Consider the following 25,002-nt stretch of genomic DNA (forward strand, 5'->3'; position numbering starts at 1 on the left):
GAGATCACACCACTGCACTACAGCTTGGTGACGGAGAGAGATTCCATCTCCAAAAAAAAAAAAAAAAGCAAATTTGGAAAAGCTTTTATGAACAAAGATGGCCATTGTCCCAAACTGGAAACCCAAATGTCTAACAATAAAGGAATGGCTGCTGTAACAGAATGTCTGATTAAAAACAAAAGGACGCCAGGCACAGTGGCTCATGCCTGTAATGCCAGAACTTTGAAGGGTGGATCACTTGAGCTCAAGAGTTCGAGACCAGACTGGCAATATGATGAAACCCAGTCTCTGCAAAAAACACAAAAATTTAGCTGGGTGTGGTGGCATGTGCCTGTGGTCCCAGCTGCTTGGGAAGGTGAGGCAGGAGGATCGCTTGGGACTGGGAGGCAGATGTTGCATTGAGGTGAGATCATGCCACTGCACTCCAGCCTGAGTGATAAAGCCAGACTGTCTCCAAAAAATCCAAAAGGCTGAGGTGGGAGGATTGCTTGAGCCCAGGATTTCAAGAGTGTAGTGAGCTGTGATCGCATCACTGCACTCCAGCCTGGGTGACAGAGTAAAAGCCTGTCTCTTAAAAAAAAAAAAAAAGTTAAAATGGTATAATAAATGCCAGGCATGTGGCTCACACCAGTACTCCCAGCACTTCGGGAAGCCAGAGCAGGAGGATCGCTTGAGCCCAGGAGTACGAAACCAACATAGGCAACAAAGCAAGACTCCATCTCTACAAAAAATCAAAATAAAAATAAATTAGCTGGGTGTGGTAGCGCATGCCTGTGGTCTTAGCTACTCAGGAGGCTGACGAAGGAGGATCACTTGAGCCCAGGAGTTCAAGACTGCAGTGAGCTATGATTGTACTGCCGCATTCTAGCCTGGGCAACAAAGAAAGAACCCCATCTCTAAAAAAAAAAATTAAATAAATAAAAGGAGGGCTGTAACAACATGGCAAAAAGTTTACTGGGCATCTTTTTTTATTTTTTTTTTTTGAGATGGCGTCTCGCTCTGTCGCCCAGGTTGGAGTGCAGTGGCACAATCTTGGCTCACTGCAAGCTCCACCTCCCGGGTTCACACCATTCTCCTGCCTCAGCCTCCTGAATAGCTGGGACTACAGGTGCCCGTCACCACACCCAGCTAATTTTTTTGTATTTTTAGTAGAGACGGGGTTTCACCGTGTTAGCCAGGATGGTCTTGATCTCCTGACCTTGTGATCCGCTCGTCTCAGCCTCCCAAAGTGCTGGGATTACAGGCGTGAGCCACTGCGCCTGGCCCTGGGTATCTTTTTGCCTATAATAAAGCCAGCCATCTAAAAACAGTTCAAGCCCTGGCTCTGGTACCTGTCAGCTGTGTGGCCCTGGGCGGGTCCCTCACTCTCTGTGAGCCTCAGTTGCCTCACCTGTGAAATGTAACTCAGTGGTTGAGTGGATCAAGTGAAGGGCTGTATGTCAAGCCCCTGTCAAGCCACCTGGTGCTCCGTGTCCTGTGGATGGTAGCTGCCCTGAAGCGGGACTTTGCAGACTGAAGTGCTGTCTCTTCAGAGGGAGTGCAGGTGTCCGGCTCCTGGTGTGGGAGAGGCACCCTGTGCTCCCTGGCCCGTGAGACAAGATTGGGTTTGGGGGCCAGGGCAGGAGTAGGGGCCCGTCACCAGGGGAAACGGCTCGTGGTAGAGCAGCTGAGGTGCAGCTGGGCCTGTGGCCTAGAAGGCAGTCTTGTGGGTGCCTCCTCCCCCAGCCGCAACTCAGGTCTGCAGCTGGGTCCTGCCTCCTTCCGAGTGGGCCATGGCCGGTACATGGCTGCTACTTCTCCTGGCCCTTGGGTGTCCAGCCCTACCCACAGGTGAGCCCCCTCTTTGCCTTCCTCTCTGTCCCTCCTCAGTCTGCCGAAGCCCATCCCCTCACTCTGGACCTCCCTGGGTACTGATGGGCTGCAGGGAGGCAGGACAAGAGATATTTAGGGACCTCTGGGGAGGGTCCCTCTGGGGAGGGGACCTCTGGGGAGGGGACCCTATATAGAGGGTCCCCACTATACTCTTCCCATTGTACTCTTCCTCCCAGCCACCTTGCTCTGGGGCTCCTATGTCCTCCTGCCCTGGAGCCCACAGTGTTGATAGGGAGGCTGCCCCTCTTAGAGGTATAGAGAAATGAGAACAAACTGGATGGACATCCATAGAAGGTGGGGTTAGGGTAGCCAGTGTGTGTGATGTGATATGCAATGATGTCATATGGGTAACAGTGTGAGGTCCTGTCCTGTCCTTCTTGCCCTCAGGATGCCTGCCCTAGTTCAATAGGACTCAGGGTGTCTCAAGTTCACTCACAGCTCACGCTTATCAGTGGGCTCAGGATAGGACCCAAGGCCTCTTCCCAGGGTATTTACCCCCAGCCCTCCCATGATCAAGGCTGGAGCCAAAGGACTCATGTTTTGAGGGGAAAATTCCAGCTTCATCTAGAAGCATGTGCATGTGTGCATGTACGTGGTGGGGGAAGGTCCATGACTTTTGAGTCAGGGGGGTCTCCTTGATCTAGAGCTGGCCCCAAGTATCTCACAGGCACTCCTTCATTAGGGAGATAAACCACACCTATGTGGAACACAGGGAGCCCATGGCAGGAGGCCTGAGCTCGGGAAGGAAGTAACCAGGGTAAGCAGGGACAATCCTGGGATGCTTCATGGAAGAAGTGGAAGCTGAACTCAACTTGGGGAATGTCTCTATCTATATAACTGAAAAGGCTCTGGAGGTTGAGTCCTGGAGCTCGTGCCCAGCCTTCTCTACTACCTTTGTTTGCAATGCCTTATTAATATTAATATCAACAATTGCACTAATACTTATCTGCCAGGGCATTTTACACTTATGGCCTTTACTCTTCACAACAATTTTGCTGGGCTGGTATTATTAACAGCATTATATTATTATTATTATTATTATTATTATTATTATTATTATTATTTATTTTTGAGACAGAGTCTCGCACTGTCGCCCGGGCTGGAGTACAATGGTGTGATCTTGGCTCACTACAACCTCCACCTCCCGGGTTCACTTGATTCTCCTGCCTCAGCCTCCCAAGTAGCTGGGATTACAGGCACCTGCCACCACGCCCAGCTAATTTTTTGTATTTTTAGTACAGACGGAGTTTCACTGTGTTGGCCAGGCTGGTCTTGAACTCCTGACCTCATGATCCGCCCGCCTCAGCCTCCCAAAGTGCTGGGATTACAGACGTGAGCCACCTCACCCAGCCCGTTATATTATTATTATTATTATTATTATTATTATTATTATTATTATTAGACAGAGTTTGCTCTGTTGCCCAGATTGGAGTGCAATGGCACAATCTCAACTCACTGCATCCTCTGCCTCCCAGGTTCAAGCGGTTCTCCTGCCTCAGCTTCCCAAGTAGCTGGGATTACAGCCGCCCACCATCATGCCCGGCTAATTTTTGTATTTTTAGTGGAAACAGGGGTTCACCACGTTGGCCAGGCTGGTCCCGAACTCCTGACTTCAAGTGATTCACCTGACTCAGCCTCCCAAAGTGCTGGGATTACAGGCATAAGCCACTGAGCCCGGCCTAACACCATTATATTGATGAGACCATTGGGACTCACAAAAAATATTGTTCCTTCAACCTAAATAAATAAATAAATACATACATAATGAAAACAAAACAAAACAAACAAAAAGAGTCAGAAAATTGGCTGGGCGCGGTGGCTTACGCCTGTAATTCCAGCACTTTGGAAGGCCAAGGCGGGCAGATCACTTGAAGTCAGGAGTTTGAGACCAGCCTGGCCAACATGACGAAACCCCATCTCTACTAAAAAATACAAAAATTAGCTGGACATGGTGGCAGGTGCCTGTAATCCAGCTACTTAGGATGCTGAGGCAGGAGAATTGCTTGAACCCGGGAGGAGGAGGTTGCACTGAGCCAAGATCCCACCACTGCACTCCAGGCTAGGCGACAGAACCAGAATCAGTCTCAAAAAAAAAAAAAGCCAGGCATGGGGCTCATGCCTGTAATCCTAGCACTTTGCACTTTGGGAGGCTGAGGCAGGTGGATCACGAGGTCAGGAGTTCAAGACCAGCCTGGCCAAGATGGTGAAACCCCATCTCTACTAAAAATACAAAAATTAGCCACGCGTGGTGGTAGGTGCCTGTAATCCCAGCTACTCAGGAGGCTGAGGCAGGAGAATCGCTTGAACCCCGGTGGGTGGAGGTTGCAGTGAACAGAGATCCTGCCACTGCACTCCAGCCTGGGCAACAGAGTGAGACTCCATCTCAAAAATAATAATAATAATAATAATGAAATAAAATAAAGACTCAGAAAATTAAGTGAATGAGTCAGGAGTCACGCTTAGCTCTGTCTGAAGCTATGTCCTAGACGGTCCACTGTGTCACATGGCAAAATCTTAGTCATCCTTCAAAGTGAGATGGTTTAGGGGATTTGGAGTCACAGAGATCTGAGAGTTCAAATCCTGAATGGACAACTTACCATTTATGTGTTAGTAGGATAATTTTTTTTTTTTTTTTTTTGAGACAGAGTCTCGCACTGTCGCCCAGGCTGGAGTGCAGTGGTGCAATCTTGGCTCACTGTAAGCTCCGCCTCCCGGGTTCACGCCATTCTCCTGCCTCAGCCTCCCGAGTAGCTGGGACTACAGGTGCCTGCCACCATGCCTGGCTAATTTTTTGTATTTTTAGTAGAGACAGGGTTTCACCATGTTAGCCAGGATGGTCTCGATCTCCTGACCTCATGATCCGTCCACCTATTTTTTTTTTTTTTAATTTTTTGAGACAGAGTCCCGCTCTGTCGCCAGGCTGGAGTGCAATTCTCCTGCCTCAGCCTCCAGAGTAGCTGGGATTACAGGCGCGTGCCACCACGCCCGGCTAATTTTTTGTATTTTAGTAGAGACGGGGTTTCACCATGTTAGCCAGGATGGTCTCGATCTCCTGACCTTGTGATCTGCCCACCTCAGCCTCCCAAAGTGCTGGGAATAAAAGCGTGAGCCACCACGCCTGGCCTAGGCTAATTATTTGGCTTGTAAGAAATCTTTCCTAAGTACCCTTTACCCCTACATCCTCACAAGATTCTCTGGCCTCCTTCCCTGCACTCTGGGACATTTCTTTCGTTTGGCTATACCTAATTCACAAAAAACTGCAGGCTGGACAAAGTGGCTCATGCCTATAATCCCAGCACTTTGGGAGGCCCAGGCATGAGGATCTCTTGAGCGCTGAAGTTCAAGACCAGCTAGGACAACATAGTGAAACCCTATTTCTACAAAAAATAAAAAATAAATTAGCCAGGTATGGTGGCACGTGCCTGTAGTCCCTGCTACTGGGAAGGCTGAGGTGGGAGGACTGCCTGAACCCGGGTGGTCAAAGCCTCAGTAAGCCATGATCATGCCATTGCACTCCGGCCTGGGCAAGAGAGAGAGACTCTGTCTCAAAAAAAAAAGAAAAAAAATTACAATGTTCAAAAATAACATTCTGGGCCAGGTGCGGTGGCTCACGTCTGTAATCCCAGCACTTTGGGAGGCTGAGGTGGAAGAATAGCTTGAGCCTAGGAGTTTGAGACCACCCCAGGCAACATAGGGAGACCCATGTCTCTACAGGTATTTTAAAAATGTAGCCGGGTGTTGTGACACGTGCCTGTGGTCACAGCTACTTGGCAGGCCAGGAGGTCAAGGCTCCAGTGAACTGTGATCACACCATTGCAGTCCAGCCTGGATGACAGAGCTAGACCCTGTCTCAAAAAATAATAATAATAGGCCGGGTGAGGTGGCTCACGCCTGTAATCCCAGCACTTTGGGAGGTCGAGGCAGGCGGATCACGAGGCAAGGAGATGGAGACCATCCTGGCTAACACAGTGAAACCCCTTCTCTACTAAAAATATAAACAATTAGCCAGGCGTGTTGGCGGGCGCCTGTAGTCCCAGCTACTCGTGAGGCTGAGGCAGGAGAATGGCGTGAACCCGGGAGGCGGAGCTTGCAGTGAGCCGAGATCGCGCCACTGCACTTGAGCCTGGGCGACAGAGAGAGACTCCGTCTCAAAAAAATAAAATAATAAAAAATAATAAAAGATTGTGGGAAATAGGGATTATTTTGGAAAATATAGGAAAAATGTTTGTAGTACCCATATGACTTAGTTCTTTCTTTTATTTTTATTTTTTTTGAGACGGAGTCTTGCTCTGTCGCCCAGGCTGGAGTGCAGTGGCGCGATCTTGGCTCACTGCGAGCTCCGCCTCCCGGGTTCACGCCATTCTCCTGCCTCAGCCTCCCGAGTAAATGGGACTACAGGCGGCTGCCACCACGCCCGGCTAATTATTTTGTATTTTTAGTAGAGACGGGGTTTCACCGTGTTAGCCAGGATGGTCTCTATCTCCTGACCTCGTGATCCACCCACCTTGGCCTCCCAAAGTGCTGGGATTACAGGCTTGAGCCACAGCGCCCAGCCATGACTTAGTTCTTAAGATTATTAAATAATACACCTATACTTCAAATGGGTGAATTGTCTGGTATGTGGACTATATCTAAACAAAGCTTTTTTTTTTTTTTTTCACTCTGTCACCCAGGCTGGAGTGCAGTGACGCGATCTCAGCTCACTGCAACCTTTGCCCGGGTTCAAGCGATTCTTGTGCCTCAGTCTCCAGAGTAGCTGGGACTACAGGCACGTGCCACCACACGCAGCTAATTTTTTTGTATTTTTAGTAGAGATGGGGTTTCGCCATGTTGGCCAGGGTGTTCTCGAACTCCTGACCTCAGGTGATCTGCCTGCCTTGGCCCCCCAAAGTGCTGGGATTACAAGCATGAACCACCACACCCAGCCTTTTTTGTTGTTGTTGTTGTTTTGAGACAGAATCTTGTGCTGTTGCCCAGGCTGGAGTGTAGTGGCATGATCTTGGCTCACTGCAACCTCCGCCTCTGGGTTTAAGCGATTCTCCTGCTTCAAGCCTCCTGAGTAGCTGGGACTACGGGTATGCACCACCACGCCCGACTAATTTTTGTATTTTTAGTAGAGATGGGGTTCCACCATGTTGGCCAGGCTGGTCTCAAACTCCTGACCTCAGGTGATCGCCCTGCCTCAGCCTCCCAAAGTGCTAGGATTACATGCGTGAGCCACCGCACCCAGCCAACAAAGCTTCTTTTTTTTTTTTTTTTTTTTTTTTGAGAGAGAGTCTTGCTCTGTCGCCAGGCTGGAGTGCAGTGGCGTGATCTAGGCTCACTGCAACTTCCGCTTCCCTGGTTCAAGTGATTCTCCTGCCGCAGCCTCCCAAGTAGCTGGGATTACAGGCACACACCACTAAGCCCACCTAATTTTTGTATTTTTAGTAGAGATGGGGTTTCACCATGTTGGCCAGGATAGTCTCGATCTCCTGACCTCGTGATCTGCCCACCTTGGCCTCCCGAAGTGCTGGGATTACAGGCATGAGCCACCGTGCCCGGCCAACAAAGCTTTTTTTTTCAAAAAAAAAAAAAAAAAAGGCTGGGTGTGGTGCCTCACGCCTGTAATCCTAGCACTTTGGGAGGCCAGGGCGGGCAGATCACCTGAGGTCAGGAGTCAGAGACCAGCCTGACCAACATGGAGAAACCCAGTCTCTAGTAAAAACATAAAAATAAAAATGAACTGGCTTGGTGGCGTGGGAACTTGGGAGGCTGAGGCAGAAGAATGGCTTGAACCCAGAAGGCAGAGGTTGCAGTGAGCCGACATGGTGCCACTGCACTCCAGTCTGGGAGACGTAGCAAGACTCCGTCTCAAAAAGCAAGCAAAAAAACAAACAAACAAAACTACAGGCTACAGAAAAAGGCTGAGAATAAAAGAAAAAATACCCAAGCACACTCCACCTAGATTAACAAACGTTTAACATTTTGCCATATTTAAATCAGACTTTTAAAAAAAGAAACAAAAAGTTACAGATATATTTGAAGCCCCTTCTAATCTCATTCCAGGTCCTGTTTCCTTCCCTTCCTCACCAGAGGCTGCCACAACAGGGTATTACAAGTATTTTTTTTACACATCTACTGTCTTTCCCATGGAACTGAGTTCCTTGAGAGCAGGGACAATGACTTACCCAATGTTGTATCTCTAGTTCCTGGAACAGAAAGGGGCTCGGATATCATAGACAAGTGGATGGAAGGAGAGGTGGGTAGATGGATAGATAGACACATAGATGAAAGGTAGAAAGAATAGATGGAGGTGGCCGGGCATGGTGGCTCACACCTGTAATCCCAGCACTTTGGGAGGACGAGGCGGGTGGATCACGAGGTCAGGAGATCGAGACCATCCTGGCTAACACGTCTCTACTAAAAATAAAAATAAAAATTAGCCGGGCGCTGTGGCGGGCACCTGTAGTCCCAGCTACTCAGGAGGCTGAGGCAGGAGAATGGCATGAACCCAGGAGGTGGAACTTGCAGTGAGCTGAGATCGCGCCACTGCACTCTAGCCTGGGCAACAGAGCAAAATTCCATCTCAAAAAAAAAAAAAAGAAAGAAAGAATACATGGAGGATAGATGGCTGATAGAAGAAAGGATGGATAAACAGGTGAGTGAATGAAAGGATGGGCAGATGGAGGGAAGGAAGGGTGGCTAGATGGGAAAATGCAAGGAGGAATGGATGAGTGGCTAGAAGGACATGTAGATGGATGGTGGAAGGATGGATGGATGGAAAGACAGAAATGTAGAACCCTAGCCTACAACACAATGCTGGCCTGGGAGGCCAAAAGCTGGTCTAGCACCCACAGGTACATGCTCTCTTGCAGGTGTGGGCGGCACACCCTTTCCTTCTCTGGCCCCACCAATCATGCTGCTGGTGGATGGAAAGCAGCAGATGGTGGTGGTCTGCCTGGTCCTTGATGTTGCACCCCCTGGCCTTGACAGCCCCATCTGGTTCTCAGCCGGCAATGGCAGTGCACTGGATGCCTTCACCTATGGCCCTTCCCCAGCAACGGATGGCACCTGGACCAACTTGGCCCATCTCTCCCTGCCTTCTGAGGAGCTGGCATCCTGGGAGCCTTTGGTCTGCCACACTGGGCCTGGGGCTGAGGGTCACAGCAGGAGTACACAGCCCATGCATCTGTCAGGTGGGGATGGAGCCTGGGCCCTTGCGGATGCTCCCTGTCCCCTTCCACACACCAGGATATGGTTGGAGGGAGGGCAGGCTCCAGGCCACAAAGGCATGAAGGGTGTCCAAGCGCAGAGCCTCTGGGTGAGGTGACACCTGGGCTCAGGGGAGAGTGGCCTCAGGGCCATGAATTTTGGGATTTGCCACTGCAATATCTGTTTGAAATCCAGGCTTTGCAGCATGGCTTCCAAGGATAAAAATGCCTCCTTCCACCTAGGATTCATTATACACACATAGATAATCACCCTGTGTACATGACACCCTATAAGGACCAAACTAATTAACAAATCACTACCAGTTATTGAGTGTTTACTCTGTTCCAGGCAGTGTTCTACAGACTTCACATTTATGAGACAGGTCATATAATTCCCTCAATTTTACAGGCACAGGGAGGTTAAGCAACATGTCTAAAGCCAGCTATTTTTGTTTCCCCCTCCATTGTATTTTGAAACAGTCAGCTATTATTATCACTGACCAGATGACTTACTTCCTCTCTAGGGATTATCTCAATTTTGTCATCTTTCAAATGGGAATGTTTGTTAACTAAGTGCCCTGACTTCCAAAGAATGCTGCGAAGACAGTCAGTTCCTTATCTGAGAGTTCCGGGCTCCCCAGCCTCCCCAGGGCACAGAACAGGGGACACTGCAAAGTGAGGGATGTTTGGGTCTTCAGAGGACTTGCAGCAAATGGGCTCAGGGTTTCTGCTGCTGGCTCACTTGTCCATTTACCCCAAATGCCTCGACACCCACCCTGTGCCAGGGCCTGGGCATAGCACTGGGGATGCCCTCCAGAGTGCATGGCCCATCCCCAAAGACTCATTCGCTTCTCCCTGGACAACAGGAGAGGCTTCTACAGCCAGGACCTGCCCCCAGGAGCCTCTCAGGGGTGAGTACTCCGGGCAAGGGGTGGGGAATAAGAGGCTGGGACCAGGACCTTGGGCCCGGGGGGTGGGGCCTTCAGCTCTGGCCTAATGGGTCTTACACTGGAGGTCAGTAGGTGTCCCATGTAGAGGCTGTCATGCTAGGTTGGGGCACTGGCTAGCATGGGCCTCAGTCTACCTAGCATAAGATGGGGGTGAATCCTTTGACCCCAGCCTAATTCCTGGACATTAGTTGAGAAGCACAGGTGACAGCTAACAGAGGGGTCTTTGGAGTCCTCCTTGGGCAGCCCAGGCAGGGGGGTCTCAGCATTAGAGGCCGTGTAAATGGGAGGCTGTCTGGGGTGATGGAAAGAGCCTGGACGGACAGTCATGAAGTTGGGCTGTGGTCCAACTCTGCTTCCCGACCAAATAGAGAATTTTGAGGCCGGGTGCGGTGGCTCACACCTGTAATCCCAGCACTTTGGGAGGCCGAGGTGGGTGGATCACGAGGTCAGGAGTTCGAGACCAGCCTGGCCAACATGGTGAAACCCCGTCTCTACTAAAAATACAAAAATTAGCCGAGCGTGATGGCACACGCCTGTAGTCCCAGCTACTCAGGAGGCTGAGGTAGAAGAATCACTTGAACCCGGGAGGTGGAGGTTGCAGTGAGATGAGATCGTGCCACTGCCCTCCAGCCTGGGTGACAGAGTGAGACTCCATCTAAAAAAAAAAAAAAGAATTTTGAGCTAGTTACTCTCTGCATCAGATGCTAATTAATTCCTGCGTGGCCCCCACCCCTACCCCCATGATTGTTGGGGAATAAAATAAAATGAAGGCCAGGAAGGTATGTATTATTACCAGTAAGAACGGAGGCTAGACACCGGGAAGGACTTTCCCTGGAGGAGGGGGTGAAGGGGACGGGCAAGGGCAGAGGACAAGGCCCTCTCCGCCGTTCTCTCCTGGGGTAGGGGGCTGCGGGCTCCTGCGGGCTCCTGAGCGGTTCCTCCTCGCAGGGACACCGGGTGGGGCGCTGTGGCTGGGGGTCCTGCGGCTGCTGCTCTTCAAGCTGCTGCTGTTTGACCTGCTCCTGACCTGCAGCTGCCTGTGCGACCCCGCGGGCCCGCTGCCTTCCCCCGCAACCACCACCCGCCTGCGAGCCCTCGGCTCCCATCGACTGCACCCGGCCACGGAGACTGGGGGACGAGAGGCCACCAGCTCACCCAGACCCCAGCCTCGGGACCGCCGCTGGGGTGACACCCCTCCGGGTCGGAAGCCCGGGAGCCCAGTATGGGGGGAAGGGTCTTACCTCAGCAGTTACCCCACTTGCCCAGCACAGGCCTGGTGCTCAAGATCTGCCCTCAGGGCTCCTTCCTCCAGTCTTGGAGCATTTTTTGCAGGTGACCTGCCTCCTCCTCTGCAGGCTGGAGCTGCCTGAGGGCAGGGCTCTACCTCCCCTGCGTCACACTGTGTGAGGCTGTGTCTCTGCCATCCAAAAGGGGGCCCCTTGAGAATGGTGATCCACCCAGTTACAGGGGCATTTAGGGAGCAGATGACTGAGAACATTAAAAAAGAACTTAAATGACACAGCAAATGAAAAATATTTGAATTCATGTCTATCCTGGGAGGAAGGAATTTGGCAGAGTTAGAAGTAGGAAAAATCCAGGAAAGCTCCCTTGAGGAAGAGGGCTTCCTGAGACAGAACTTGGGAACTGCAGAGTGGGACTGGTGGCTGGGAAGGCGGCTGTCTCCTCCCCCAACAGCAAGCGGGGAGGCCCCCTCTTCTCCTCACCCTGGCCCAACCTCTGTGAGAGGTCAGGGCAGAGAGCCCAGGAACCCAGGAAGGTGGGTGGTGGGTCTGATGTGAACTCTCGTACAGAGGTGAACAGGGCCAGGGTTTCTGGGGAACAGGATCGTTTTCAATAACAAGAGTATGAGATATTAATTCCAAACTTACAGTTTATTAATCAATTAAGAGTCATTATTCATTTGACAAATATTCTTTAAGTATCAACCCTGAGCCAGGTACTAAAGAGGTTTGGCTTTTTTGGTCTGGTTGTTACATAAAGAAGATTCTTGTATTGATCAAGTATGAGGCTTCCACAGTAGAGCATAACGTGTGCGTCCCCTGCTTGCCCAGCGCTGGCAGGAAATCCAGACTTTCCCAAGGGTTCTCTGCTAGTAATCACTCCAAGAGACTCTGGGTGCTGTCATGTAAATCCACCTGTCCCTTGGGCCCCATAGGATAGTCTGCTGGATCAACTTTAGTCTTCCTTCCCCCAGGGAGGGGATGGGGAACTATGCCCCAGCACCCCAACACATGGTTTCAAGGACACCCTCAGCTCCCCTGAGCCTCTGTGCTCTCTCAGCTACTGTTCCATAAAAACTCTCACTGCCTCCTCCACTGCTCATCTCTCACCAGCCTGAAAGGAGATTCTCCCACTTGTTTTGGGGATTCTTGGGTGCTGGTGGCTGGGGTGGGAGGGTCCCATAGCTTCTACGGATGAATCTGTCCACCATCCCCACAAGGCATGTTCCTTCTCTGACACACAGACTGAGGGAGGGTGTGGGCAGGGGCCCAACTATAGCCTCAGACTTTCTCTGGCCACTATCCCTTCCTAGCTGTCCGGCCAGATGCTGAGCCCAGGCTTCTCAATCTCCACTGTCAGGCTGGCTTAATCTTATTTCCCAGGAGGGCTTCTGAGCCGAGGTGAATCAAGGGCCATGGCCAAGCTCTGAGCCTACCCAAGTATTTTATTTTATTTTATTTTATATTTTATTTTATTATTTTATTTTTTGAGATAGGGTCTCACTCTGTCCCCCAGGGTGGAGTGCAGTGGTGCGATCTCAACTCTCTGCAATCTCTGTCTCCCAGGTTCCAGCAATTCTCCCACCTCAGCCTCTCAAGTAGCTGGGACTACAGGCACACGCCACCATGCCTGGCTCATTTTTGTATTTTTTGGTAGAGACAGGGTTTCACCACATTGGCCAGGCTGGTCTTGAACTTCTGACCTCAAGTGATCCGCCTGCCTTGGCCTCCCGAAGTGCTGGAATTATAAGTGTGAGCCACTGTGCCCAGCTTGAGCCAACCTAAGTCTTATCAAGCCTAGAAAACATGGAGGACCTTAGGAGGGTGTCCTGATCTTGTACACTGTGGAATTCCACATGCCACAGCCCCTGCCTATCCAAAGTGCTTTGTTACCAACACAGTTTTGGACAAGAAACTAAAGTCAGAAAGTGGCAAGGCCTGGGCCTCAGTGCTCTGAAGTCTTCATAAAATAGCATAAATATCCAACCTCTAGGAAGGAAACAAGAAGGTATCAGGGAACAGGGTTTTATGGCCAATTTGCAGACAACTTCCCAGAGAAGCAACTTTGGTCTGTGTGCGTCTGTAGGACACTGAGTTCAGGGGCAGCCTAAAGAAGACCAAGAGTGCTCCTCTTTATTTTTATTTGTTTATTTTTATTTTTTGAGACGGAGTCTCGCTCTGTCGCCAGGCTGGAGTGCAGTGGCGCGATCTCGGCTCACTGCAACCTCCACCTCCAGGGTTCAAGCAATTCTCCCGCCTCAGCCTCCCAAGTAGCTGGGACTACAGGCACCCACCACCACGGCTATTTTTTTTTGTATTTTTAGTAGAGACAGGGTTTCACCATATTGGCCAGGCTGGTCTCGAATTCCTGACCTTGTGATCTGCCCGCCTTGGCCTCCCAAAGTGCTGGAAATACAGGCATGAACCATCGCGCCCGGCATTTATTATTTTTGAGATGGAGTCTTGCCCTGTCGCCCAGGCTGGAGTGCAATGGCGTGATCTCGGCTCACTGCAACCTCCATCTCCCAGGTTCAAGCAATTCTCCTGCCTCCACCTCCCGAGTAGCTGGGATTACAGGCGTGTGCCACCACGCCCGGCTAACTTTTTGTATCTTTAGTAGAGATGGGGTTTCAGCATCTTGGCCAGGCTGGTCTTGAACTCCTGACCTCGTGATCCACCTACCTCGGCCTTCCAAAGTGCTGGAATTATAGGCGTGAGCCACCAAGCCCGGCCTCCTCTTTATTTTTTATTTTGATTTATTTATTTTTGAGATGGGGGGGGTGTCTCGCTATGTTGACCAGGCTGGTCTCGAACTCCTGGCCTCAAGCAGTTCTCCCTTCTTGGCCTCCCAAAGTGCTGGGATTACAGACATTAGCCACGGCGCCTGGCCTTTTTCTTCTTCTTCTTCTTTGTTGAGACAGGGTCTCAATCTGTTGCCCAGGCTGGTCTCCAACTCCTGGGCTCAGGTGATCCTTCCGCCTCGGCCTCCCAAAGTGCTGGGATTACAGGCGTGAGCCATTAAGTGTTCCCCTTAATGACACAGCAGATGAGAGTTTTACTGAGTATCTCCTTGTGCCAGGCACCCTGTTGTTGCTGGGGAAGCGGAAGGGAGAGACAATCGTTAATCGGCTAAATTTCTGCCTTCTGAGAGCTCAGAATCAAGAAATAAATAATAGGGCAGTAAAAGGGGCTGGGATTACATACAAAAAGAAAATTAATGCCTGAACTTTTTACAATCTGCTCGATAAGCTTTAATTCTATTAACCTATTTGAGCTTCCCAACAACAGGCAAGCTCCCACAGCAGCTAGGAGGATCACTTTGTCGTCATACAAATAGAAACAGGCTCAGAGAGGAAGTCATTTGTTCTAGTTCTCACTAGGACAAATCTACTGGCTACTAAAAAAGTGTGAAGGCTGGGGACAGTTTGAGTCGTCCTGCTTGCACCTTAAGCGCCTACAAGAGTGCCCGGCTATAACAACCACAATACCAATAATAAAATTTAAAAACAGATGTTCAGTAAGGACTTGCGGCATTAGGACCCCAGGAGGGAAGTGACGTTCGAGGAGGCGGAGAAAGCCGCGAAGACGGCCTTCCCCACATCTTCCAGCACCTGCGCGCCTGAATCCGTCCCACCCAGGCCCAGACGCAGGCTTCTTCTCGGGTCTTGGTCCTGCATCCTCTCTCTCCCAGAGCCTCCGTTAGGGGGTGGGAAAGGACTTTGCCATAGGTCGCTGAGGCCACCATCTGCTCTCTTACTGGCCAAGGGCGTAAAAAGATAGTCTTCCCATTAGCTAGAGAGCAAACCCCAGAAAGCCTATTGGCTGCGCCGTCCGCGGGCCTTGGTCCGCTTTGAAGGCGGGCTGCGGCTGCGAGAGGAGGGCGGGCGGGAGGCTAGCTGTTGTCGTGGTTGCTCGGAGGCACGTGTGCAGTCCCGGAAGCGGCGAGGGGAAACTGCTCCGCGCGCGCCGCGGGAGGAGGAACCGCCCGGTCCTTTAGGGTCCGGGCCCGGCCGGGCCATGGATTCAATGCCTGAGCCCGCGTCCCGCTGTCTTCTGCTTCTTCCCTTGCTGCTGCTGCTGCTGCTGCTGCTGCCGGCCCCGGAGCTGGGCCCGAGCCAGGCCGGAGCTGAGGAGAACGACTGGGTTCGCCTGCCCAGCAAATGCGAAGGTGAGGAGGCGGGGCCCGTGGGGCGTATCCTGCCGGAGGGGCTGGCTCCAGCGGTGGTGCTTGCGGAGCAGCGTCGGGGGTTGCAAGGTTCCGAGCTCTGCAGGGTGTCTTCCTTCCTTGAACAGGCTTGCGCCGGGACGCTGCGGCGGACGAGAGATCTGGTCCCGGTACCCCTGGAGTTCACACATTGGTAGAAACAAGCAATGATAATTCAGAGTAGTAGATGCCATGATAGGGGAGGTACAGAGCTTCCTTTTGGGGGCCGGACGAGGAGCATCTGGTCTAGCCTGGAGTGGGGGAGGGGGTGGGCGAAGGCTGTGTGCAGAGGGGAGTCAAAGAGGGCTTCATACAGGAAGCACGAAGAGGCATTAGGAGTTAGCCGGATGAAGAGAAGTGGAAAGAGAGGGGCCCACTCAGGAAACTACAGAGGCAGAGGCCTGCCGGCTGAGAAGCTAAGAACGAGTTTGAGGAACTGAAAAGCTCCAGATGACTCATCTTGGGGGAAAAAAACCTAAGACTTTCCCCTTTTGCCCTCACTGCAACCCAATCTGTGTAGTTGTCTGTTGCACCCACTAACAACTCCTCGAAGGCAGGAATTTTTGTCTTAGATACGTATTCACACAGTGTCTGGTAGGCACTCAATAAATGTTTTGAGAATACAGATGATTAAATGGGAGACTGTGGGTGTGTGTGAGGAGGAGGATCTGGATCTGAGGAGCCCTTTGGGGGAACAATAGAGCCTATGGGGAACTTGAAAGAAGATTTTAGGACTTTGGAGAAAAGGTGAGTCCCAAAGACATAGGCGTTGAGGAACTACAGAGAGAGAGAGAGAGGGAGCTACCAGCGAGCCAGGACTATAAAGGACCTATTTCTTTTTCCTCAACTCCGTCCCTTAGTTTTCTCCTCAGACCTTACAGTCATGCCTGCCTTCCTAGCCCCGTAACCCCAGGGCCCCCAGAAAGTTGGCTGTGAATCTCTCATCTGAATTGAAAGCCTACATCAGGCCAGATGTTCCCTAAACACTGGAAAGTGGGTTTGGGGTAAGTTTCGGACACATAATCCTTCCATTAGAGAGATTAAAAGGATGCTTTAGAGATAAGCCGACTTCACTGGTAGGGCACCCAGTATGAGTTCAAGCCTGTGCCTTCCCCCGTACATTCTTTTCTTTTTTTCCTTTTTTTTTTTTATGAGACTGTCTGGCTCTGTTGCCCAGGCTGGAGTGCAGTGGCGAGATCTCGGCTTATTGCAACCTCTGCCTCCTAGGTTCAAACGATTTTCCTGTCTCAGCCTCCTGAGTAGCTGGGATTACAGGCGCATGCCACCATGCCCAGCTAATTTTTGTGTTTTTAGTAGAGATGGGATTTCATCATATTGGTCAGGCTGGTCTTGAACTCCTGACCTCAAGTGATCCACCTGCCTTGGGCTCCCACAGTGCTGGGCTTATAGGCGTGAGCCTCTGCTCCTGGCCGCCCTTTCACTTTTCGCTCTTCCTCTAGTCCTGATAGCTTTTTTTTTTTTTTTTGAGATGGAGTTTCGCTCTTATTGCCCAGGCTGGAATGCAGTGGCGCGATCTTGGCTCACCGCAACCTCCAGTGACCCACCCTCCTCGGCCTTACAAAGTATTGGGATTACAGGCATGAGCCACCGTGCCTGGCCTTTTTTTTTTTTTTGAGACGGAGTCTTGCTCTGCCCAGTCTGGAGTGCAGTGGTGCGACCTTGACTCGCTGCAACCTCCGTCCCCCAGGTTCAAGGATTCTTCTACCTCAGCCTCCCGAGTAGGTGGGACTACAGGTGTGTGCCACCACTCCCGGCTATTTTTAGTAGAGACGGGTTTTCACCATGTTGGCCAGGCTGGTCTTGAACTCCTGAACTCGGGTGATCCACCCACCTTAGCCTCCCAAAGTGCTGGGATTACAGGCGTGAGCCACTGCACCCAGCCCAGCTAACTGATAGCCTTTCAGCGTTTCGCTTCCTCTTCTCTTTCTTTTCTGTCTTATTATTATTATTATTATTTTTTTTTGAGACGGAGTCTTGCTCTGTTGCCCAGGCTGGAGTGCAATGGCACAACCTCGGCTCACTGCAACCTCTGCCTCCAGGGTTCAAGTGATTCTCCTGCCTCAACCTCCTGAATAGCTGGGATTACAGGCACCTGCCATCATGCCCGGGTAATTTTTGTATTTTTGTAGAGACTGGGTTTCACCATGTTGGCCAGGTTGGTCTTGAACTCCTGACCTCAGGTGATCCTCCCACCTCAGCCTTCCAAATTGCTGGGATTACAGGCATGAGCCTCCGTGCCCAGCCTGTATTCTGTCTTATTCTGATATCAAAGAGCCCATACTCTCCCTCTTATTATTCTCATAGCCTAAGGAGCTCACATTTATTCTCCTTAGGCAACATTCACAGACTCACGGAAGCATAGAGATGCCCAGGATCTCTATATCTCTATATCTAGAGATCATTCTAGTCTACCCTCATTTGGTAACTGATGAAGATTAATTGAAAAGGGATTTGCAGTCACAGGATGGCTTGGCAAACTCCAACCGTTAGGTTCATCTTAATAGTATATTTGTTTGTATTATTATTACACCTTTGTTATTAAATGCTGACTGTGTCTAGCCCACCAAGCCTGCCTCCTGGCTCAGTAGCCTGAGTGGAACAGGCCTCGGCACAGAGGAAGGAGAACCTGCCCGGAAAAAAAGAGTGGGTGGATGTCAGTGAGGGTCTGGTGTCTGTGCCGTGAATCTCCTGTGAGTCTGGTTCTGGGTGGGATCCGCAGAGGAGGTCTTGAAGAGGTAATGTTTGGAAGAGCTGGAAAGCAAGGCTGTGGTTGATGGGTATGAGAGAGAAAGGATGTTCCAAACCTCCCCTTTCCCCACTCCTGGGGAGGGCGTGGGAGGAGGGGCAAGTGGTGCTAGAAAAATGATGTGCCTGCACAGAGTACAGGACAGAAGAGGGGAGGGAGCCCAGATGGTCCTGGATGGAGAGCTGGGGAGGTGAGACATCCCCAGTTCATTGCAGACTTGAAGATCACCAGCTTATTACTTGGAATTTGTATGTGTTTCAAATTCTCCAAGCCATTGATTAATTTCACCAAGCAGGCCTCCAGGGGATGTATTTATTTTTGTGGTAAATTGGTATTCTAGCAGACTGTGCTGTCAGTGTTAAAACTGCTGATGGCATTTAGCCTTCAGACTGGTATTCCATTCAGAGGCATCAGAAGACGGTCTCTATCAACAAGATTTATCGAGCGTCCAGCATATATCAAGTCCCAGGCTAAGGAAATACGAAAAAATCTAATACATAATGCACATTTTGGGGACCCTTGTGGTCTATGTGGAGAGACACATCAAATGACTGAGGGTCCTTAGGGAGAGCATGGATCCTGCAGAGGCCCAGAGTGAAATCTAGAGCAATTGGCATTAGTGCAGAATGGCTTCCTGGGGGAGAGGCTTATAATGCGAGGTGGGCAGGATGGGCAGAGAAGCCCTTAGAAGGCATTAAGTATTTTCCTAGGGCCTCAGGCACTTCACACCCTCGGTGGTAGCACTGTAGCACTCTATACAGTGGTAGTTATTTGTCTACACCTTTATCTGCTGCATTAGACTGAGTATCTGGAAGGGAGGGGACCTTGTTTTCATCTCTGTATCCCCAGGCTGACACGTAGGAGTTGCCTAATACCTATTTGAGGAAGGGTAAGAGGAAATGAGGAAATAAATGTGCGGAGACAGTAGGAACAAGAGCTCTCTGGAGGGCATGGAGCAAATTAACTTGGTAGAAATAGAGCTGATGTTGGAACACATATGAAATCAAGTAATCTAACAACCATAAAAGATGTTTTGGGGACAATTAAGGAAATTTGAATATGGACTACTGGGTGATGTTGGAATTGTTAATTTTCCAAGTATCATAATTGTTCTATGGTTATGTAGGAGGAGGTCTTTTTTCTCAGGAGATACATGATGATATATTTATCTCAAAAGGTCATGTTTGCCACTTACTTTCAAGATGGTGTAGCAAAAGAAATGTATATATTGTTGAGATATTATAATTATATATTGAAGAGAGAATGTGGCAAACTATTAACAACTGTTGAATACAAGTGGAAGGTATTCATTGTGTTCTTTCAGCTTTTCTGTATGTATGCAATTTTAGAAAGTAAAATGATAGACCCTGGCGTGGTGGCTCACGCCTGTAATCCCAGCACTTTGTGAGGCCGAGGTGGGCGGATCGCTTGAGGTCAGGAGTTCAAGACCAGCCTACCCAACAAGATGAAACCTGTCTCTACTAAAAATACAGAATTAGCCGTGCATGGTGGTGCATGCCTGTAATCCCAGCTACTTGGGAGGCTGAGGCAGGAGAATCGCTTGAACCCAGGAGCTGAGATCTCATCATTGTACTCTAGCCTGGGCAACAAGAGCGAAACTCCATCTCAAAAAAAAAAAAGGAATACGAAGAACAATTGCTTAAGGGCAGGATTTACAGTAAGTACATGCTCTTACACAAGAAACAGTAGATAAAATAGAAATCCTAGAGGCATTCCTGAAACTGGGGTTAATCAGAAGTCAACATGGCACATTAGCATCCAAGATGGAGTTGCTTTAGCCTCCACAGGTTCTAACTCCTTCCCTGCCTTGAGTGCTGATTTTGGTCCTCCAGTCTAGGAAAGGATGCCCACCTGGATCTGTTTTGCTGGGAGCTGGCCTCCCATTAGACTCATGTGCACTCAGTGGGCTGTGCTACCTCCCTCCCCCAGTGTGTAAATATGTTGCTGTGGAGCTGAAGTCAGCCTTTGAGGAAACCGGCAAGACCAAGGAGGTGATTGGCACGGGCTATGGCATCCTGGACCAGAAGGCCTCTGGAGTCAAATACACCAAGTCGTAAGTGAATGGGGACTCACTGGCCTGGCCTGCGTTGCTGCTGGAGGCTTCAGGGGTTTGGAGTTCCCTTCTCCTAGCTAGGCAAACCCCCTACAAGGGCATCATTTGTAACCAAGACCTGAGTTTGCCCACTGATTCTGTCCCCAGCTAATTGGGTGACGTGCATAAATCTCTTAACTTCTTTATGCTTCAGCAGATTTCTCATCTCTAAAAGCAAGACTGTTGGACTATATCATTGATTCTCAGACGCTTGGATTTCACAGAGCAATGCAAGTTTTTTTTTGCGACGGAGTTTCACTCTTGTTGCCCAGGCTGGAGTGCAATGGCATGATCTTTGCTCACTGCAACCTCTGCCTCCCGGGTTCAAGAGATTTTCCTGCCTCAGCCTCCCAAGTAGCTGGGATTACAGGCATGTGCCATCACGCCCAGCTAATTTTCTGTATTTTTTTAGTAGAGATGGAGTTTCACCATGTTGGTTAGGCTGGTCTCGAACTCCTGACCTGAGATGATCCGCCTGCCTCGGCCTCCCAAAGTGCTGGGATTACAGGTGTGAGCCACCACACCCGGCCACAGTGCAATTTTTTAAAACATTAGTAACAGGATTACCAGCTTTTTATTTTGCTAGGTACAAATATAGTTTTTAAAAACCCAATTCTGTCAGCTGTGATCATCCTTTCAAAGAGAATGATATTTTACTATCAAAATTTAATAATTTTGCTTTATCAAAAAATCTAAATACTGAATCATTTAGCTTTATAAAAAATTCCTTCCCTTAGAGCTGTTAAAATTTTGTCTCTCTGGTCTGTGTTCCAGCATTTCAGATCCCCCAGACCAGATGACCTATCTTCCTTCCAGCTCTGAGTCACTTCCCATTGGTGAGATGTGCAGGTGTTGGGGCACAGGGCTGGAGGGACAGACCACTAACCCACTGCGGCTAGGAGGGGAACTCAGTTCCTCATCCTCCTGTCTTGGCAGGGACTTGCGGTTAATCGAAGTCACTGAGACCATTTGCAAGAGGCTCCTGGATTATAGCCTGCACAAGGAGAGGACCGGCAGCAATCGATTTGCCAAGGTTGGATTCGGGATTGTCCTTCATCCGCTCTGGGGTCAGGCCTGCATGTATCTTAGTGTGTCTGCTGGTGTGAGTGTGATTTGAAGATGACCACCTGGGATCTTCCTTCATTGCCTCTTCCCATTCTTTGATTGCCGTTTGTGCTCCTCCCCTCTTGAGTGGCCTCATTTTTCAGGCACATGCATGAGGGTCTGGGCCTGTTCATGAGGGTCCTGCTTCAATCTCAGACACAGGCAGAAATGCTCCACAGTTGCTGCCCCCGTGGGAACCTAAAGACACTAGAACGGGGAGAACTCAGCAAGATCCACGATGTGCAGAAAGGTGGGGGTTTAGGCGAGGTGTCAGAGGACACCTCGGTGGGAGTGACTGCCCAGTCCCATCTCTGGGTCCACACAGCACCTCCCACAACCCCGCTGGGATGCCCTTGTGATGGCCCATGTACTCAGTATGTGTACGAGTGCTTTTCTCTCTGGAGAATGAGCTGCTTACAACAAGGCCCATAGTTCTTACTCTCTACATCTTCAGTGCCTGGCACAGGGTAAGATAGTTGCCACCCACATTTTTCTACCTAAGTTTCCTTCTAGCAAAGGATACCATTCATAAACTCCTGGGATACCTAAGGGAATAGTCTCAAGCAGCAGAAATTTGTATGAATTTTGCACTCAGTAATAAATCTGTGTTTGCTTTAATAAAAAGTGTTTAAGAATTATTTTTCATAGCAGGAAAAAAATGAGAAACAATCTAACTCTACCAATAGGGGATTAAATACGTTGATCCAGCCGTTTGGTGGACTAGTATGCGGCTGGAAACGAAGCATGGGGAGGCTCTTTAGGAACTGAATTCAATTGATTTTCAAGGTTTTTGTGTGTTTGTTTGTTTTGGAGACAGAGTCTCACACTCTGTTGCCCAAGCTGGAGCGCAGTGGTGCGATCTCAGTTCATTGCAACCTCCACCTTCCAGATTGAAGCTATTCTCCCACCTCAGCCTCCTGAGTAGCTGGGATTACAGGCACCGACCACCACGCCCGACTAATTTTTGTGTTTTTTAGTAGAAACGGGGTTTCACCATGCTGGCCAGGGGGTCTCGAACTCCTGACCTCAGGTGATCAGCCCACCTTGGCCTCTCAAAGTGCTGGGATTACAGGCATGAGCCACTGCACCCAGCCCTTCAAGGTATAAGTAAAAAGGGCAAGTGCAAAATAGTGTGTATGCTATACCACTGCTTGTGTAAAAAGGCGGGGGGAGGATATATTTAGATATTGGTATTTGTATGAGTTATCTCTGGGAAAATAGAGGAAATGGATAGTATGTTTTCTCTGGGGATAAGACCTAGGCAGCTAGCAGAGATAGTTTTTACAGAATAAAGGGTCTACCTGCCTCAGCTATGCCTTTTTCCCACTGAGGAAAGACACAACCCAGGAAGAACGGAACAGCAGGTCTGGATGATATGGGAGTGTTTCCAGCCATAGTGAGGGGAAAGAGCTAAGACAAACCTATTTCCTGGAAAAGAAGCATAAAGCCAAAGGGCCTGAGGGCAGCCGCAGGTCTTTTTGAAGCGATGAGGTGTGCAGAGGCAGATCAGGGGGTATATGTGCAGGGGTTGTGGGAAGCAGGCCTAAAAGAGGGAAGAGGAAGGTCAGGTCAAGGATGAGGCCAGGTGCGGTGGCTCACGCCTGTAATCTCAGCACTTTGGGAGGCTGAGGTGAGTGGAAAACTTGATGCTAGGAGTTCGAGACCAGCCTGACCAACATGACAAAACCCCAACTCTACAAAAATTAGCCGGGTATGGTGGCACGCCTTTGTAGTCCCAGCTGCTTGGGAGGCTGAAGCAGGAAAATCGCTTGAACCTGGGAGGCAGAGGTTGCAGTGAGCTGAGACGCTCCAACCTGGGCGACAGAGTGAGACTCCTTCTCAAAAAAAAAAGGATGAGGATCCTTAGAGGGCGTTGAGCATTGGTCTTATAGCTGGGTTCTTAGCCACCACTGGGAGACGAGGGTGGGAGGGAGAGAAGGGAGCTCCGCCTGCCATATCTGGTCGCTTCTTCCAGGGCATGTCAGAGACCTTTGAGACATTACACAACCTGGTACACAAAGGGGTCAAGGTGGTGATGGACATCCCCTATGAGCTGTGGAACGAGACTTCTGCAGAGGTGGCTGACCTCAAGAAGCAGGTACAGGCCCTTCAGCCCTTGGAAGGGTTGCTGTGCCCAGTGAGGGGCTGGTGGGGATTGGGTCTGCTCTGAGGAAGTCCACCCAGGCCGGGGTGGCTTTGGTCAGGTCATTTCACCTCTCTGGCCTCAGTTTCCTTAGGTGAACCGCTGCCACTGCCTACCTTGCAGTGGGTTGCGAGGCTTAGCTGAGCTCCTCTAGGAGCGAGTCAGGTGCTGGGGCTTTGCCAATATGAGGTATTATGATTAACAGTGTGATGTGCTGGTGGAAGAGTTTGAGGAGGTGATCGAGGACTGGTACAGGAACCACCAGGAGGAAGACCTGACTGAATTCCTCTGCGCCAACCACGTGCTGAAGGGAAAAGACACCAGTGAGTTTGGGGAAGCAAGGGCAGGCTGGCTCTGGATGATTTGTTTGCTCTCCCTTGGGGGAGGTGGGTAGGAGGAGAAACAGAGGGCACCAGAGGGCATTGTAGGATCTCTGCCCTTGAAAGGCTTGATTGGCAAGACATGGTGAAGTAAGAGTCACTGAAACCAGGTGCAGAATGATGGGCAGACAAGTCAGATGCCCCCAGAGGGGCCTGGTGGCCACAGCGAGAGGCAGGAGGCAGGGAGGCTGATGTCAAGCACAGTCCCAGTTGCTACTCCCACGGCTCCCTGCTCAGTGCTCCTTGCCCAGCACCCCAGCCCTGAGGCACTTCTGTTGAGGGTCTCTCTCCTCCACACCCTAGGTTGCCTGGCAGAGCAGTGGTCCGGCAAGAAGGGAGACACAGCTGCCCTGGGAGGGAAGAAGTCCAAGAAGAAGAGCAGCAGGGCCAAGGCAGCAGGCGGCAGGAGTAGCAGCAGCAAACAAAGGAAGGAGCTGGGTGGCCTTGAGGGAGACCCCAGCCCCGAGGAGGATGAGGGCATCCAGAAGGCATCCCCTCTCACACACAGCCCCCCTGATGAGCTCTGAGCCCACCCAGCATCCTCTGTCCTGAGACCCCTGATTTTGAAGCTGAGGAGTCAGGGGCATGGCTCTGGCAGGCCGGGATGGCCCCGCAGCCTTCAGCCCCTCCTTGCCTTGGCTGTGCCCTCTTCTGCCAAGGAAAGACACAAGCCCCAGGAAGAACTCAGAGCCGTCATGGGTAGCCCACGCCGTCCTTTCCCCTCCCCAAGTGTTTCTCTCCTGACCCAGGGTTCAGGCAGGCCTTGTGGTTTCAGGACTGCAAGGACTCCAGTGTGAACTCAGGAGGGGCAGGTGTCAGAACTGGGCACCAGGACTGGAGCCCCCTCCGGAGACCAAACTCACCATCCCTCAGTCCTCCCCAACAGGGTACTAGGACTGCAGCCCCCTGTAGCTCCTCTCTGCTTACCCCTCCTGTGGACACCTTGCACTCTGCCTGGCCCTTCCCAGAGCCCAAAGAGTAAAAATGTTCTGGTTCTGATTTCTGAGTCCTCTGCAGCCCTCAGAGGTGCCCTGG

At 50.6% G+C, this 25,002-nt stretch overlaps 3 protein-coding genes across 25 annotated transcripts in view, besides 7 other annotated features; all 3 read left to right on the forward strand.

Annotated features, from left to right (window-relative positions):
• PTCRA (pre T cell antigen receptor alpha) lies at positions 1,756-11,541 on the forward strand. Of its 8 annotated transcripts, none has more exons than XM_024446344.2 (5): positions 1,756-1,830; positions 7,921-7,963; positions 8,730-9,050; positions 9,932-9,976; positions 11,049-11,541. In XM_024446344.2, the coding sequence occupies exons 1-5, from the start codon at positions 1,784-1,786 to the stop codon at positions 11,202-11,204; spliced, it is 612 nt and encodes a 203-aa protein (XP_024302112.1). In that variant the 5' UTR covers positions 1,756-1,783; the 3' UTR covers positions 11,205-11,541. The 8 variants fall into 8 exon arrangements, with proteins under 8 accessions (XP_024302112.1, NP_001230098.1, NP_001230097.1 ...); NM_001243169.2 differs by having other exon boundaries at positions 8,848-9,050; positions 10,964-11,541; NM_001243168.2 differs by lacking the exon at positions 7,921-7,963 and having other exon boundaries at positions 10,919-11,541.
• Positions 13,705-24,997, forward strand: CNPY3 (canopy FGF signaling regulator 3). 11 transcript variants are annotated; one of them, NR_134881.1, is made up of 8 exons: positions 13,705-15,424; positions 15,550-15,614; positions 20,178-20,301; positions 21,115-21,176; positions 21,277-21,373; positions 23,420-23,542; positions 23,793-23,910; positions 24,271-24,990. NR_134881.1 is itself a non-coding variant. In NM_001318842.1 (7 exons), exons 1-7 carry the CDS (start codon positions 15,274-15,276, stop codon positions 24,492-24,494), a joined length of 936 nt encoding a protein of 311 aa, NP_001305771.1. In that variant the 5' UTR covers positions 14,833-15,273; the 3' UTR covers positions 24,495-24,990. The 11 variants fall into 11 exon arrangements, 5 of the variants coding, with proteins under 5 accessions (NP_001305771.1, NP_001305774.1, NP_006577.2 ...); NR_134880.1 differs by lacking the exon at positions 15,550-15,614 and having other exon boundaries at positions 14,833-15,424; NM_001318842.1 differs by lacking the exon at positions 15,550-15,614 and having other exon boundaries at positions 14,833-15,424; positions 21,240-21,373.
• Positions 14,576-15,077: an enhancer, noted in NCBI's record as "NANOG-H3K27ac hESC enhancer chr6:42896611-42897112 (GRCh37/hg19 assembly coordinates)". NCBI's record gives its function as "activates a minimal SCP1, AML or CMV promoter by ChIP-STARR-seq in naive H9 embryonic stem cells {active_cell/tissue: H9 hESC(naive)}" and the evidence as "EXISTENCE:reporter gene assay evidence [ECO:0000049][PMID:30033119]".
• Positions 14,662-14,711: an enhancer, noted in NCBI's record as "active region_24577". NCBI's record gives its function as "activates an Ori minimal core promoter by ATAC-STARR-seq in GM12878 lymphoblastoid cells {active_cell/tissue: GM12878}" and the evidence as "EXISTENCE:reporter gene assay evidence [ECO:0000049][PMID:35858748]".
• Positions 14,722-14,771: an enhancer, noted in NCBI's record as "active region_24578". NCBI's record gives its function as "activates an Ori minimal core promoter by ATAC-STARR-seq in GM12878 lymphoblastoid cells {active_cell/tissue: GM12878}" and the evidence as "EXISTENCE:reporter gene assay evidence [ECO:0000049][PMID:35858748]".
• Positions 15,078-15,579: an enhancer, noted in NCBI's record as "NANOG-H3K27ac hESC enhancer chr6:42897113-42897614 (GRCh37/hg19 assembly coordinates)". NCBI's record gives its function as "activates a minimal SCP1, AML or CMV promoter by ChIP-STARR-seq in naive H9 embryonic stem cells {active_cell/tissue: H9 hESC(naive)}" and the evidence as "EXISTENCE:reporter gene assay evidence [ECO:0000049][PMID:30033119]".
• The window catches only part of CNPY3-GNMT (CNPY3-GNMT readthrough), a 34,401-nt gene continuing 24,581 nt past the window's right edge, over positions 15,183-25,002 (forward strand). For 5 of the 6 annotated variants that reach the window (NR_134892.2, NR_134891.2, NM_001318856.2 and 2 more), the window contains exon 1: positions 15,183-15,424. Coding sequence is in view for 3 of the 6 variants with exons in the window: in NM_001318857.2 (NP_001305786.1) it covers positions 15,274-15,424 (151 nt within the window). In the remaining 3 variants the exon portion in view is untranslated. Of the gene's footprint in view, positions 15,425-21,276; positions 21,374-25,002 lie in introns of all 6 variants that reach the window. The other variant, NR_134890.2, reaches the window with a different exon arrangement.
• Positions 15,222-15,481: an enhancer, noted in NCBI's record as "active region_24579". NCBI's record gives its function as "activates an Ori minimal core promoter by ATAC-STARR-seq in GM12878 lymphoblastoid cells {active_cell/tissue: GM12878}" and the evidence as "EXISTENCE:reporter gene assay evidence [ECO:0000049][PMID:35858748]".
• Positions 15,792-15,901: an enhancer, noted in NCBI's record as "active region_24580". NCBI's record gives its function as "activates an Ori minimal core promoter by ATAC-STARR-seq in GM12878 lymphoblastoid cells {active_cell/tissue: GM12878}" and the evidence as "EXISTENCE:reporter gene assay evidence [ECO:0000049][PMID:35858748]".
• Positions 24,307-24,809: an enhancer, noted in NCBI's record as "H3K4me1 hESC enhancer chr6:42906342-42906844 (GRCh37/hg19 assembly coordinates)". NCBI's record gives its function as "activates a minimal SCP1, AML or CMV promoter by ChIP-STARR-seq in primed H9 embryonic stem cells {active_cell/tissue: H9 hESC(primed)}" and the evidence as "EXISTENCE:reporter gene assay evidence [ECO:0000049][PMID:30033119]".

This window comes from Homo sapiens, chromosome 6 (assembly GCF_000001405.40).
Source record: "Homo sapiens chromosome 6, GRCh38.p14 Primary Assembly".
NCBI classification, from domain to species: Eukaryota; Metazoa; Chordata; class Mammalia; order Primates; family Hominidae; genus Homo; species Homo sapiens.